At 43.7% G+C, this 14894-nt stretch overlaps 1 protein-coding gene across 44 annotated transcripts in view; it reads left to right on the forward strand.

Moving 5' to 3' along the window:
- MSH2 (mutS homolog 2) overlaps positions 1-14894 on the forward strand; it is a 306764-nt gene that overhangs the window by 80670 nt on the left and 211200 nt on the right. The gene's annotated exons all lie outside the window — the stretch shown is intronic.

Raw genomic sequence — 14894 nt, forward strand, 5'->3', positions numbered from 1 at the left:
TCAGGAGATCAAGACCAGCCTGGACAACATGACGAAACCCCATCTCTACAAAAATAAATGCAAAAATTAGCCGGGCATAGTGGTGCTTGCCTGTAGTCCCAGCTACTCAGGAGGCTGAGGTGGGAGGATCACGTGATCTGGGAGAGGTTGAGGTTACAGTGAGCTGCACTCCATCCTGGGTAATACAGTGATAACTGTGTCTCAAACAAAACAAAACAAATCACCTTCAGTGATTTTTAGACCAAATGTACAAGGTAATACTCTCAAGGTTTTAATGTTTTATAGTTCTGCAGAAGATAACATAGGAAAATATTTTTATGTCCTTGGCTTTGGGAAGAATTTAAGTCACAGAAAAACACCATCCATAAAGTTTGACTTATTTAGCTATTTGAAATTAACAACTTCTATTAAAAGGCACCACAAGTGAAAAGACATGAATCGTAATGGAAGAACATACTGGTACGTTATAAAATATCAAAGAGTTGGGCATGGTGTCCCATGCTTGTAGTCCCAGCTACTCAGGAGGCTGAGGCAGGAGGATCACTTGAGCCCAGCAGTTCAAGTCTCAGCAGTTCAAGTCCAGCCTGGGCAATATAGCAAGACTGCATTTCTTTTCTTCTTCTTTTTTAATACCTGGAATAAAGAACTCCTATAAAATCACTAAGAAAAGGGGTCACTTAAGAATCTCATTAACAAAAAGAATTTGAATATTTTTCCAAGGAAGATATGCAAATGGACTGTAAGCACATGAAAAGATGCAGATCAGGGAAATGCAAGTCAAAACCACAATGAGCTACAACTTCACACTGATTACGATAGTTAAAATCAAAAAGTCAGATGGTAAGTACTGGCAAGGAAGTGGAGAAATTGAAACTGTCATGCGCTCTTGGTGCGAATGTAAAATGGTGCAGCTGCTTTGGAAAACAGTCTGGCAGTTCCTCAGACAATTCCACTCCAACGTATATCCAAGTGGAATCACAACATATGTCCCCACAAACTTGTACATAAATGTTTATAGCAGGATTATTCATAATAGCCAAAAGGTGGAAACAACCCGAATGTCCATCAGCAGATGAATGCATAAATGAAACGTGGTCTATCCATACAATGGAGTATATTATTGAGCCATTAAAGGAATGAAGTACTGGTACATGGTGCAGCTTAGATGAACCTTGGAAACATTGTGCTAAATGAAAGAAGCTGGTTACAAGAGTCAACACGTATGATTTCATTCATGTGAAAGTTCAGAATAGAGACAGCAGTAGAGACAAAGTAGCAGTTCAGGGTTGGTGCCAGGGAATAGGGGGTAGGTGGGGTGAAAGCTAAAGGATACGGTGTTTCTTTGTGAGATGGAAATTCTAAAATAGGTGATGTTTATACATGTCTGTGAATATACTAAAAACCATTGAATTGTACACATTAAATGGATGAATTGTATAGGAATTATATTTTAATAAAGCTATTTAAAAAAATCCAGACACTTCACCCAAGAGGAAATCTAAGTGGTCCATAAACATGAAAAGGTCTTTAATCACCAGTCAGAAAAATGAAAATGAAAACCATGCCAGGCCACCTCCCACCACCATAGTGACAAGCATTTCAAGTGTGGCAGTTCCAGCTGTTGTTGAGGATGTGGAATAACACTGGTAGGGGTGTTAAGATTATCTGGTGAAATTGAAAAGACGCATACGACCCAGCAATTCTGCTCTTAAGTGCATACTCTGGAGATGCTTTTGCCCATTGTGCTGCGAGATGTATACAAGAATGTTCCTAATACCTCCACACTGGAAACAACTCATCAGTGAAAATGAACTACAGCTACACAAAATGACATAGATGGAATCTTAAAACGTTTAGTAAAAGAAATGATACAAAAGGATACAGTTTTTTTTTCATTTATGTGAAGTTTAAGAATAGGTGGTATTGTTTAGGGATGCAGTCTTTGGGATGGCAACTGTAAAGAAAAAGTGATTGTGTTAATCAGAGTGATTGTCTTTAGGGAAATGGAGTGCTGATGGGGAGGGGGCACATTAGGGCTTCTGGAGGGCCACAGTTCTGGTTTTTAACCTGAGTGGTGGTTTTGCACGTGCTTGCTTTATAGTTAGCTGCAATTTTTTTTTTTAATGCAGTTAAAGTTTGGTATGAGAACAAATGTATGACCGATGAGTCCTTTCAGTTTACCAAGTTCTTTTTCGTCATCGTTAATTTAGAGTGGGTTACATCAGTTTTTCTTTTCTGGCTGCCAAAGGCTTAGGAAAAAGGCAAACTGACAGAGGAAGATTTTAAATGTAGAAATATTTATTGGTTTACAAATCCTTTTAATCACTTATACATGAAAAGCTTTCATATAATTCAAAAAGCAAATTTTAAATTCCAATGAAATAGTTCATCCCGTGGTTGTGAAAGAGTGTTTTTAGATTGCTGCACAGAAGCATGTTTAACGTGGAAATCAGCTCATGGTTTTAGTTGTTAGGGCTACAAGAAATTGGGGGAGACTTCATTCCAAGAAAACATGTAGTCTGTCAGGCTGTTTTCATTCCTCTAAAAGAGACAGTTTTCTAAGATGTTTTTGAAAATGAGAAAATACGTAATAGATCTGCTTAAGAAGTTTCAAACTTAATCTGTGCTTATTACATGAATATGCTAATGTAAAACCAGGCCTTCAGTTAGTGTTTCCTTCCTTTTAGAATGGTGTATGTAAAGCAAAATATAAACTAATTTCTGACCTGTCAAAGGTTTTTTCTTAAAATTTAAATTTATAATGTGGTTTGGTTTTTCTTTCCCACTCAAACATGAATTTGGGTAATACCAGAATAAAGCTGGATATATAAATTTTATCCAAAATTTAGAACTCTGTTGTTAAGAAATCTGTTGACCACATAACCATGTTTCTGAGAAAATACATGATTTTTTGCATCTTTAAAAAAAATTAGCACTAAGAAGCTAAGATGAAGTTGTTTTTGTAATTTGATTTTTTTTTCCTTAAAATACTGTTTTGGAGTTAAAAGTTGTAGCAAAACTGGTATAAGAAAGATGTTTTAAGATATATTTAAGTCTTGTCTCATACTCTATTGACTAAGCTAGCCCGGTGACTAGGGTAGATGTATTTAAAGAATAACTTTTCCCCCTTAAAATCTCAATATTCCACATCCTGTTAGACTTCTTGAGTATTAAATACATCTTCTATCCTTGGTCTTTCTGCATTTAGCTTTTTTGGGAAGTATGTTTTTACCCAAGCATATGGTATGAGCTGCTGATTCAGTATTGAGTGGCTCTTTAAGCTTGTTAGTTACATTCTGCTGATTAAAATGGTGTACAGAATAGTCAGGAAAAACCAGTCCCTGGTCTGAAATAAACAATGTTAATTAGCTTATGGGGAAGAACAAATGAGTAAGGAGAATTTTCATATACAAAGGAAATCTCTGATTGTCTTTCTGGACTCAGTGTGTTTGGGTTAAGGAGATAGGGTGCGGCTGGAGAAAATGATGAAAATGTTCAGAATGTTACATGTATTTTTACACTGAAACTGGAAGTGGAAGCCCAGTGTGATAGTTTTCTGCCCGATGTTGGCCTGTCTTCACACCCACACCACTTATCTTGATTGATAGAGCTACTACTTCCTCTTATACTGCTTCAGAAGTTAACCTCTGTGGTGCAGTGCTAGGATATCACAGAGGAAATAATCCCTTGTAGACAGTGTCTTGTTGCTGGGAGTTATCAGTGCCTCCTGTTCTCTCTAAGGAGGGCAATGGGAAGCCCTTTCCTTGCATTTGCTACAGCCGTTTCCTTGACCTCCCTGGAAGAACAGTATTTCATGGTGTCAGACAACATTCAGAACATGCTCAAATTAAATGTATGTCAGTATGCATTTGCTTTGGTGTGTGGTTTGTCCAAACCAAAGTGCCCATACATGTCTCTGGTCCAGCCATGTGGGAAATTCAGCAGTGGGGTGAACCATATGGAAATGGCAGGTGTTGGGCAGCCTTGACTGGACTGCCCTGGTCTTACTTCTGGATTTGGTGAGTAGAAGATCACACTGTTGCTTGCTGCCCTGGGTTCACCTCAAAGAGGGAAAGAAGAATTAGCAACTTAAATGGTTAAATTTAGAAACAAGAAAAAGTTCTGTCAGTGGGCAGTTTCTTACGTCTAACAAAAAAAACAACAGCAGTGAATTCTTTTGTGTTCAGAATTAACCAGTAAACACAACCTTAGCAATTAACCTATCACTATCACGATTGTTTATTTCCTGGAATTTTGTTGACAGAATTAGTCCAATAAATGTTATGAATAATAATTTTATGAATAGAGATAGGTTAATGCCAAATTAAGTATAATTGAATCTGAGACATTAATGCAACTGTTTTAAATTCAACCACTGACCTGCAATTTTTATATGCCTTGTCCATCCAGCAAGATACATTTTGTCCATTTTTTTCATGTTTAAAATTTAATATTTATTGTCAATTCCAGTGTGTTTCATTGCTAAACATCAGGCTCAGCCAAAGCAATCACGAAAATGACTCCACGTTGAATCTTTAACATCACAATGTGGATTAACAATTTGGCAACATTTGGCTGGGCGCGGTAGCTCACCTATAATCCCAGCACTTTGGGAGGCCGAGGCAGGTGGATCACGAGGTCAGGAGATCGAGACCATCCTGGCTAACACGGTGAAAACCCGTCTCTACTAAAAATACAAAAAGCCATGCATGGTGGCGGGTGCCTGTAGTCCCAGCTACTTGGGTGGCTGAGGCAGGAGAATGGCATGAACCTGGGAGGTGGAGCTTGCAGTGAGCTGAGATCGCGCCACTCCAGCCTGGGCAACAACAACAACAACAAAATTGGCAACATTAAATACTTTGTCAGTATCTGAAAAGTGCAAAGTACTGTGCTTGGCTCCCCAAAGGCTCCTCTTAATCCTGAAAGGCAGGTGCTTTTATTATCTTTTATCTTATTATCTACATTTTCCAGATGAGGAAACGTAGGTACAGAGGTTTAGTAACTTGCCCAGGTCACATAGCCAGTAAGTGGCAGAGCTGGGATTTGAACCCCAGTACCCTATCTCCAGCGAATCTGAGATGTACATGTGATAAATTTAATCTTTCTCAATAAATTATTAAGTGTCAAAGCAAGTGGTATGGGCAATGCACCAGGATTAAGAAAAACAGTGTGTGGTAAAGATGTAAAATATTTCTAATTCTGTTGTGGGCTGTGGCACTCCCGTGGAAGGCTTGCCACAGACACAGCCAGAGGCATCCACGTGGGCCCCTGCTGCACACCTGGTTTGCTGCTACCAAGGCTGCTCTCCCGAGGCTTGTTCACACAAAGGAAAGTGAGCAGCTAGGAAGCTGCATATTTGAAAGTTGACTAGTCACCAAATGCTGGCATCCAACCAAGTGATTGCATTGTACCCTGTTTGGATGAAAGATTGTGTTTAAATGAAAAGAGAGATGATGAGCCAGAAGTGTGGCAAATGAGTTAAAATAAATTGTCAGCAGTGTTTGAAGCAGGTTGCTGAGGGCTGGTGTCCTGAAATCCGGTCACTTGGAGGATGTATATGTTCCATCAGGGGCCGGAAATGTTTTATCCAAGCTTTAGGGAATAACCCTGGAGATTCTCTTCGTTACTCTACTGTTAAGTACGTGCTTACGGAGTAAACTTCGCATGACTAAGGTTTACAGGCCTGAATGTGCAACTGAGTTCAAGTAAGCAGCAATGTGGTGTATTAGGAAGACTGCTTGACTTGGGTTCTAATCCTTGCTTCACCACCTAGCTGTGTGACTTTAAACATCACTGTTTTTCCTCCTGCCTTCCTTCTGTAACTTAAGGGGGTTGGATTATTAGAGTTCTCAAATGCCATACCTTCAAGGCCAGGTGCAGGATGCAGAGAATAGTGGGTTAAAGTGAACACCTCAATGTAAAATCATTCAAAAATTTAAAAACATCACGGACCAAACAAATATGTCTTTAAATCTGAATTTGGTTAAAGGTCACAAGTTTATGCCCTTTGGAGTACTCTCTGACATTTTCATGATGATATGAAAGGATTTTTCCATACATACTCAAAAGGCGCTCACGCCTCTGTTGCAGTCAGTCTGGCCACTTCCAAATAGCCACCCCATGTTGGTCTCCACTTCTTCCCTCCCTCTTTAAGTGCTATGTTAATAATCTAGCTTATAATTCTCTAATCAGCAGTAGAGCACTTTGCTACTTTATTTTTTATTGTTAGGGGTGATCTTAGCAGCCCAAGTATGCTAAGTCTTAGAAATATTCATCAGTGATGTTTTTCCCTGAAGCTCGTTTGGTGACTGCTAAACTAGAACCAGAATTGGAGAAAAACGACCCTGTGAATTCCAAGCCAACAAAGCCGGGGAAGAGGCATTGAGCAACCTGTGGTTGCCTGAGAAACAAAAGGCAAGGTGGTTGGATGAAAGCAACACTTCCAAGCCTTTTCCAGCTTAACGAACATAAGTCTAGGTTTTGGGGAGAGCCTATCTTAGTGAGAGTGAACAAATAAAGTAGGCTGTATCTTTCAGAATTGGGTATGACTCAAATAACTTTTTTTTTTTTTTTTTTTTTTTTTTTTTTTGAGACAGTCTCACTCTGTTGCCTAGGCTGGAGTGCAGTGGCATGATCTCAGCTCACTGCAACCTCCACCTCCTGGGTTCAAGTGATTCTCCGGCCTCAGCCTCCCGACTAACTGGGATTATAGGCGCCCACCAGCACGCCCAGCTAATTTTTGTAGTTTTAGTAGAGACAGAGCTTTACCATGTTGGCCAGGCTGGTCTGGAACTCCTGACCTCAGGTGATCCACCCCCCTGGGCCTCCCAAAGTGCTGGGATTACAGGCGTGAGTCACTGTGCCTGGCCTCAAATAACTTTCAAGATTGAATAATAGTAGCTTGAAGCAAGTCTAGAGACGAGCCAGCTGGAGGACAGGGCCAGCAGGAAGGAGGTATGCAAGGAAAAACCTGCAATGAATGGACCTACTGTGTTTGAGGGTACTGAGAGGAGTTTGGGGTTGAATTAATACCTACAAAGCATCCACAAAGCAATTGGGAAGAAAGGGTAGGGGGACTATTAGGCCTAGTCATATCAAACTTTTTTTTTTTTAAAAAAGAGTAAATGTCATGATAGTATACTGCCCACCTCAATTGTAAAATTTTATTTTATTTCGTTTTTAGATGGAGTCTTGCACTGTCGCCCGGGCTGGAGTGCAATGGTGCGATCTCGGCTCACTGCAACCTCCGCCTCCTGGGTTCAAGCAATTCTGCTGCCTCAGCCTCCCAAGTAGCTGGCATTGCAGGCACCCGCCACCACGCCTAGCTAGTTTTTTTGTGTTTTTTGTTTTTTTTTTTTTTTTTTTTTTTTGAGACGGAGTCTCGCTCTGTCGCCCAGGCTGGAGTGCAGTGGCGGGATCTCGGCTCACTGCAAGCTCCGCCTCCCGGGTTCACGCCATTCTCCTGCCTCAGCCTCCCAAGTAGCTGGCACTACAGGCGCCCGCCACTACGCCCGGCTAATTTTTTGTATTTTTAGTAGAGACGGGGTTTCACCGTTTTAGCCGGGATGGTCTCGATCTCCTGACCTCGTGATCTGCCCGCCTCGGCCTCCCAAAGTGCTGGGATTACAGGCGTGAGCTACTACACCCAGCCAATTGTAAATTTTATTCATTTAAACACCAACAAGTGATTTAAGAACAATAATAAAATAACTGTAGCTGGTATGATGGCTCATGCCTGTAATTCCAGCTACTCAGGAGGCTGAGGTGAGAATTGATGAGGCCAGGAGTTCAAGACCAGCCTAGGCAACATAGTGAGACCCCCCCCCACCCCCGTCTCTAAAAAAATAATTAAAAAAAAAATAACTGGGCATGGTGGTAGTCCCAGCTACTTGGGAGGCTGAGGTGGGGAGGTTTGCTTGAGCCCAAGAGTTAAGGCTACAGTGAGCTGTGATCACTGCACTCCAGCCTGGGTGACAGAGCAAGACCCTGTTTCTAAAAAATAAAAATTATATTGGGATGATGGAAAGGTATAAATCTGCTCTTTCTGTAAGATGATGTCTAAAATTGGAAAATAAATAGTGGTATAAGCATGTTATTTAAAAATTTAGAGGTAAGTGATAGAGGATTGTGAAAGTGGCTACCTCTGGGACAGTGAACAGGGCAGCATTGAGAAGGGAGCTGCCATTTTTCATCATAAGCCTCATGATGATCCTATTTGATTTTTTTTAAAGATTTGTGTTCATAAAAATGAATATTGAAAGTGAATGCAGGAAAAAAACTGTCTAAAAGTATATTTAAACAGTGACATTCACTTTGCACATTGACACCTTAAGATAAATCCAATGCAATGTCATACTCTTACCCCAAATAAGTTGCATTGTAATGTAAGGTCATTCTCTTGGGGAGAATCTAAACTGACAGAAAAATCTGTCTTAAGGAGTACCTATGATCACAAAGTACTTCAAGCACCCTTTAAATTGTGATTAAAGATAATTTGTTGTTTAGAAATATATATACCTAGGTCTGGGGAGGAATAGAAGGGAAATGGAGAGTGACTGTTAAGGTTTCTTTGAGGGATGATGAAAACGTTCTAAAATTAAGTTGTGATAATTGCAAAACTATAAATATATTAGAAACCACTGAATTGCACATTTAAGTGGGCAAACTATTACGGCATATCAATTATATCCCAGTAAAGCTGTTTAAAAAATAGTAGCATAAATAAGATGTAATAATAGCCAACATTTGTTGGGAGCCAATAGCCTGAGTGACCAGCTCAGCATTCTTGATAACCACCCCCTTCTCCCTATCTCCTTTACTCAATAAATATGAAGGGCTCTAGAAGCTCAGGGCCCTTGTTCCCTAGAAGCAAGGAGCCCCCGACCCCTTCTTCCAAACACACTCTTTTGTCTTTGTCTTTATTCCCATGTTCATCCTCCTTTGTTCAGTCCAGCATGGTCTGTGGCAAACATTCAACAATCTCTAAGGTAGATAATATTATCCCATTTTATAAATGAAACGGGCCTAGAGGAGCTAAATGACTTTCTTAAGACCATCAGACATGAATAGATTAGAAATTATTTTTCTTTCATGTAAAAGAAGTCTGGAGGTAGGCTGTCTAGGGCTAGTAAGGTGGCTCCACGATTATGCAGCAGAGACCCTGGAACCTTTGAGTTGGTTTCTCCACTGTACATGGCTTCTCTCAAGGTCACCTCATGGCCCAAGATGACTGCCAGGGCTTCAACCAATGCATCCACATTTTAGGCAGCAAGAACGATGAGAGTGCAAAGATGCTTATCCCACCTTTAAAGAAACAAAAGTACACAGCTTCCACTTGCATCTTCCATGGGAGAACTGAGTCACACATCTATGCTGTTGGAGCCTAGGAAATGGAGTCTTCACTCCCAAAACTCATTTTGAAAAGCATTCGCGTTTTGTGAATGGCAAGGAGTTTCCGGTTTGGTGCTTGGTAAATGCTTTGAGATGATGATGTCTCTTCTGCCCACCATCTTCACAGCCTCACCTAGTCTTTCATATTTATTTCCGCTCAAAGCTTCATTTGGCCTCTGGTCTTCCTTCTCTTTCTCTCACAGCTTTTTTGGACTCTATCCTGTAATCGCTTTTCCACTGAATCCAACTAAACACTCAGTACCTTGTCTGTCTCGTTCATCGTGCTAGGCACAGTGCTAGGCTCTCAGGAAACATGCATGGAGTGTAGGTTCCTTGGGGGATGTGAATTATCAACACCCTTGAGCATGGCTGGAACGAATCGCCCCTCCCGAGGACAGACAGGTAGAGCCAGAGTGCAGGGCAGTCTCCCAGCTCGCTGGAGGCAGAGCTGGCCTGGAGCCTGGCCTCCTGACCCTCAGGTGCCTCCTCTCACCCTGAGCTTCCCAAACACCGATTTCCAGGCAAAGCCTCATCACACAACGATATTAAGTAAAGTAAAATAGGAACGGATAATAAATTTTTATGTATGCAGAAATTGTTTCTCTCCTCCCCTCCTCTTGGGGTTGATTAACTTAGCTGGAAGTAATGAACCTGAACTGATTTTTTGAGCACCAGATCTAAGTGGTAATTACTGAGTTGGTACCTTGTTTATAGACTTTCAGAAGACCGTAATACTTACTAAGAGAATCCTTTTCTCCTCTACTCCCACCAGTTTCTCCCTTGGCATGAGAACCGACAAACCAGAACATAAATGAGCTGGAGGAGAGAGCCCTTTCTTTTTTTTCTAGGAGTTGTGTCATATTTCTAAAGGGCAGCACTGTAAGTACTCTGCTCCCTTCAGGGAAGAAATTGTGCTTCCAGGACCCCTCACTGAGAGCAACGCCAGGGAAAGAATGGCCGGCTCAGGACTTCCATCGCGGTCATTGGCCAAACTCCTTCCTTCTGAGAATCTTACTGACAGAGGCCCCAGGGTCATCTCATGGGGCTTTCTGAGGCCAGTACTGCTTTCTTCTGACTTTCCTCAGTAGACATCTATGGCTCTTTTAATGACATTCTCTCTCCAACCTGCTTGGACTCCATCCACATCTTTCTTTGGGTTCCTCCTTCTATGAAGGAGACTCCTGTTTGTCCTCAACTGGCCTCTCCTGGGGTTCAAAGGCAGCCCTTCCTTCGAGTCTCTCGTGGGTTCGTGAGCACTCTACCTGCTTGTTTTTGGGTACTTGGTAAGCCCGGCATCACAATCTCCCCTGGAGCTAGTCCCATGGTGACACCTGCCCAGATTCTGTGGTCACCAGAGGTTTCAGGTGATGGTTCAGAGAGGGCACCGTTTCCCGGGAGGCTTGGGGACTTGGCAATTCATGGGCTTTATATTCTCTTGTATATCCCACCTGGGCCCTGGAAGCCCAGTAGCTAAGTGAGGAGAGGCACAACCTCCTGGCCTGAAGCTGAGTTGCTTCTATTCCACCTACAGGTTTTCCTCTCCCTGTTCCCTCTCCTGGAGCTTCCAGATCTCTGCCACCCTGTCCCCCTATTCACCCCAGTGATACAGGCAGCCCGAGGGCTGAGTTCTGTGACAGCACCCTCACCACTTCAAATATGCTGACATCGGTTCTTCAGGCCTGGGCCACTCACTGAGCAATTTGATCTTCCATTTATGCCTCTGCCCAGCTGCGTCCTGATCGGTGGCTCTGGCCTGCTCTCTTCTTGTCCTGGCTTCAGCCCTTGCGCCTGCCTCTGGCCAGCCGAGCTTCAACAGCCAGAGCACCAGCTCCTGCACAGGTCGAGGCTCAAGCCGTGGCAGGGCCCCTTCCCCAAGCAGTCTTCATCTCATGTAGCTGTGACAGTCCTTGGATGATCCGAGCTGGGAGGGGCTTCAAACAACTGTATCAAGTTCAAACCCTTGATTTAAATGTGAGGAAACCACCGACCCAAGGCCACACAGGTAGTGTGAGGTGGCCATTGCCAGGAAAGGAGGGATGGGCAGTTGTGTGCCCCATCCTGAGTGTCTCTGGCAGCTGGACTGGATGACCACCACTAAGCCTTCCACAAACTCAAATCTGCTTTGACAGTGAGGAGATACCTGATGTCTTGTTTGTTCCCCAGTCCCTCCCTGTCTTTGCTGGTTGCTGCTGCTACCAATCACATGGCCCGTTGTCCTGCCCACAGAAGTGGACCAATGACCCAAGCCATGTCATCAGCTTTAGATTCTGGGAACGAGAAGCTCTCCTTCCTCCATGATTATTGAGCTTGTATGCTGCTATAGCCGTCTGTGGGCATACCCCACCTCTACCTCTTCTCATCTTTGTGTACCCTACCCAGCCATCCCGGGGAGCCTATCAGCAGTGGGAAAGAATGAGATCAACATAGACGAACTATTCCATGTTGATGGGGAAAGGGGCATGGTGGAGCAAAAGTGAGCTGAGCACATTATTGGAGTCCTTGGGCTACGTCAGGGAGTCTCTAGGTCACCAAGCCAACCAGTTCCTTTTTGGCTTAAGCTGCTCTCTTATTCTCCTACACCAACTGGGTATCCAACAATGCAACCCAATCCTGACAATAACTATCCGGACGGCATAGGTTAAGGGCTTGGTCCCACAAGACTGTCCCCACTTCAGACATCAGCTGCAAAGAAGGTGCCCAGGCTACCCACATTTCTGCCCAACTGACTATAAATTTGGGGGTTCCCACCAGCCCTCTTCATGTTTGATAATTTGCTAGAACAACTCACCAAACTCAGGAAAGCACTTTACTTACTATTATTGGTTTATTATAAAGGCTAAAACTCAGGAACAGCCAAATGGAAGAGTTGCATAGGGCAAGGTATGGGGATGGGAGTAGGGGTGGCTCAGAACTACCATGTCTTCTTGGGATGCATTACCCTCCCAGCACCTTGACATGCTCAGCAACCTGTAAGCTCCCTGAAACTTTGCTTGGGAATTTTTTTTTTTTTTTTTTAGATTCCATTAAGTAGGCATGATTGATGAAATCACTGGCCATTAGTGATTGAACTCACACTCCAGACTAGGTGTGGTGGCTCCCATGTGTAATCCCAGAACTTTGGGAGGCTAAGGCAGGAGGATTGCTTGAGGTCAGGAGTTTGAGACCAGGCTAGCCAACATAGCAAGACCCGATCTTGACAAAAAAGAAAAAAAATTAACCAGTCATGGTGATGCAAACCTGTGGTCTCAGCTACCTGGGAGGCGGAGGTGGGAGGAGCCAAGGAGGTTGTTCTCTCTTGAGATTGGAGGGTGGGGCTGAAAATTCCAACCCTCTACACACAGGGTTAGTTCTGGCTACCAAACCCTGTCTTGAAGCTATCTAGGGTCACCTCATTAGCATAAACTCAAGTATAGTTGAAAGGGGCTCATTATAAGTAAGAAAATACACTTCCATCATTCAGGAAATTCTCAGGGTTTTAGGAGCTCTGTGCTAGGAAATGGAGACAAACACCAAACAAATTTTATATACCAGAAATGCTATAAGTGCAGTTTCTGTTGCCTGTGACCAAAGGGTCCCTGGATGGTTCAGGCACTGATGGAGCCAGAATGAAAACCCATGACAACCAACTCCTAATGGGCCTCATGTTCTGTGAACTACTCAGATTCCAAATGCATCAAAGACACCACTATTGAAGGCAAGTCTGATTGTTTTGTGGGCTCTTGCAGACCATAAATGTAGCCTTGCACGCGTGGGTTTGATCGAAGTGAGGTTCTATCAGTAACATGTGACTATGCCTCTTTCATAGGTTGTTGCTTCAAAGAGAAAAATAACCACTTCTGTGCTGTTCTATGTGTACGGCATCCAGCATGGGTGCTCAAGTAGAATGAAATAAATTCACCCAAGGGTCCCTACTCTGCCTCTGCACCTCAGACCTTTAACCTCATTTGTAGAAGGAGGGTGACAATCGAATCGATGTAATTTACCTATCTACTAATAATCAGAACTCTTTTGCTTTCAGGTGAGAGAAATGCAACCCATACCACCTTCTACCCTAAGAACCATCTGAGGTTAGGGGTGCTGATCCCAGGCCCAGCTGGGTTCTAAAACTGGAGGGGGGCATGCGGCCTCATCCTCCCTCGCTTCCTCTCTCATCCTGAGTGTCATCTTTGTCTTTCGGTTCCTTCATGTGGCAGGGGACGTGGCCACTGAAAGCAATAGGGTCAGATCCTTACAGTATCTTCTTTTTCTTTTCTTTTTTTTTTTTGAGATGGAGTCTCACACTGTCACCTGGGCTGGAGTGCAGTGGCACGATCTCGGCTCACTGCAACCTCCGCCTCCTGAGTTCACGTGATTCTCCTGCCTCAGCCTCCCGAGTAGCTGGGATTACAGGCACACACCACCATGCCCGGCTAATTTTTTTTTTTTTTGGGGGGACAGAGTCTTGCTCTGTAGCCTCGGCTAGAGTGCAGTGGTGCGATCTTGGCTCACTGCAACTTCTGCCTCCCGGGTTCAAATAATTCTCCTGCCTCAGCCTCCTGAGTAGCTGGGATTACAGGCGCCTGCCACCATGCCTGGCTAATTTTTGTACTTTTAGTAGAGACGGGGTTTCGCCATGTTGGCCAGGATGGTCTCAAACTCCTGACCTCAGGTGATCTGCCCGCCTTGGCCTTTCAAAGTGCTGGGATTACAGGCATGAGCCACTGCGCCTGGCCCTTACAGTATTTTCTCAGAGGGAAAGAAGGCCTCTGTCTTCAGGGGCCACCTTAGATCCCAGAAGGATTCTGACACCTGGACCAGAGGCAGAGACCGCCAGGGCAACTCTACCCGAACCAAGAGGAAGTGGGGACAGATACTCTCCTTTGACCAAAACTTTAATGAGGCTCGTCTGAGACCTTCCTGACCAGGCCCAGCCTATGTCCTTGCAGAATTCAGTTTGAGCAAGAATCCTGCCGAGTCAGGGCAGGGAAACGCCCCCAGCCTTGGTATCTGACCACTGTCTACATCTTATCAGCCTGATCTGCCTTCAGCAAGAGTCCTATTGGGTTGGTCTAACAGGATTCCCCTCTCCCCGATGTTTTCTCTCAGTTATTTTCCATTCACTGACCTCCACCCTGCTTCATGGCTGCAAGTCCCCACTTGCCCATGCTGTAGTCAGAATCGAGTGCAATCTCTCCCCACAACTGCAAGACCACACTGCAGTGCAGCTTGTTCCTCTGACCATGGCTCCCCTTGTGTAGTCTGCCTTACTATCCATAACAAGTGTCATGAATAATTTTTTCTTTAACAATACCCCCCTCCAGGCTGGGCACGGTGGCTCACACCTGTAATCCCAGAACTTTGGGAGACTGAGGCAGGAAGATCACTTGAGCCCAGGAGCTCAAGAACAGCCCAGGCAACATAGTGAAACCCTCTACAAAAAATGCAAAAATTAATGGGGTGTGGTGGTGTGTACCTGTAGTCCCAGCTACTCGGGAGGCTGAGGTAGGAGGATCACCTGAGCCCAG

This window comes from Homo sapiens, chromosome 2 (assembly GCF_000001405.40).
Source record: "Homo sapiens chromosome 2, GRCh38.p14 Primary Assembly".
NCBI classification, from domain to species: domain Eukaryota; kingdom Metazoa; phylum Chordata; class Mammalia; order Primates; family Hominidae; genus Homo; species Homo sapiens.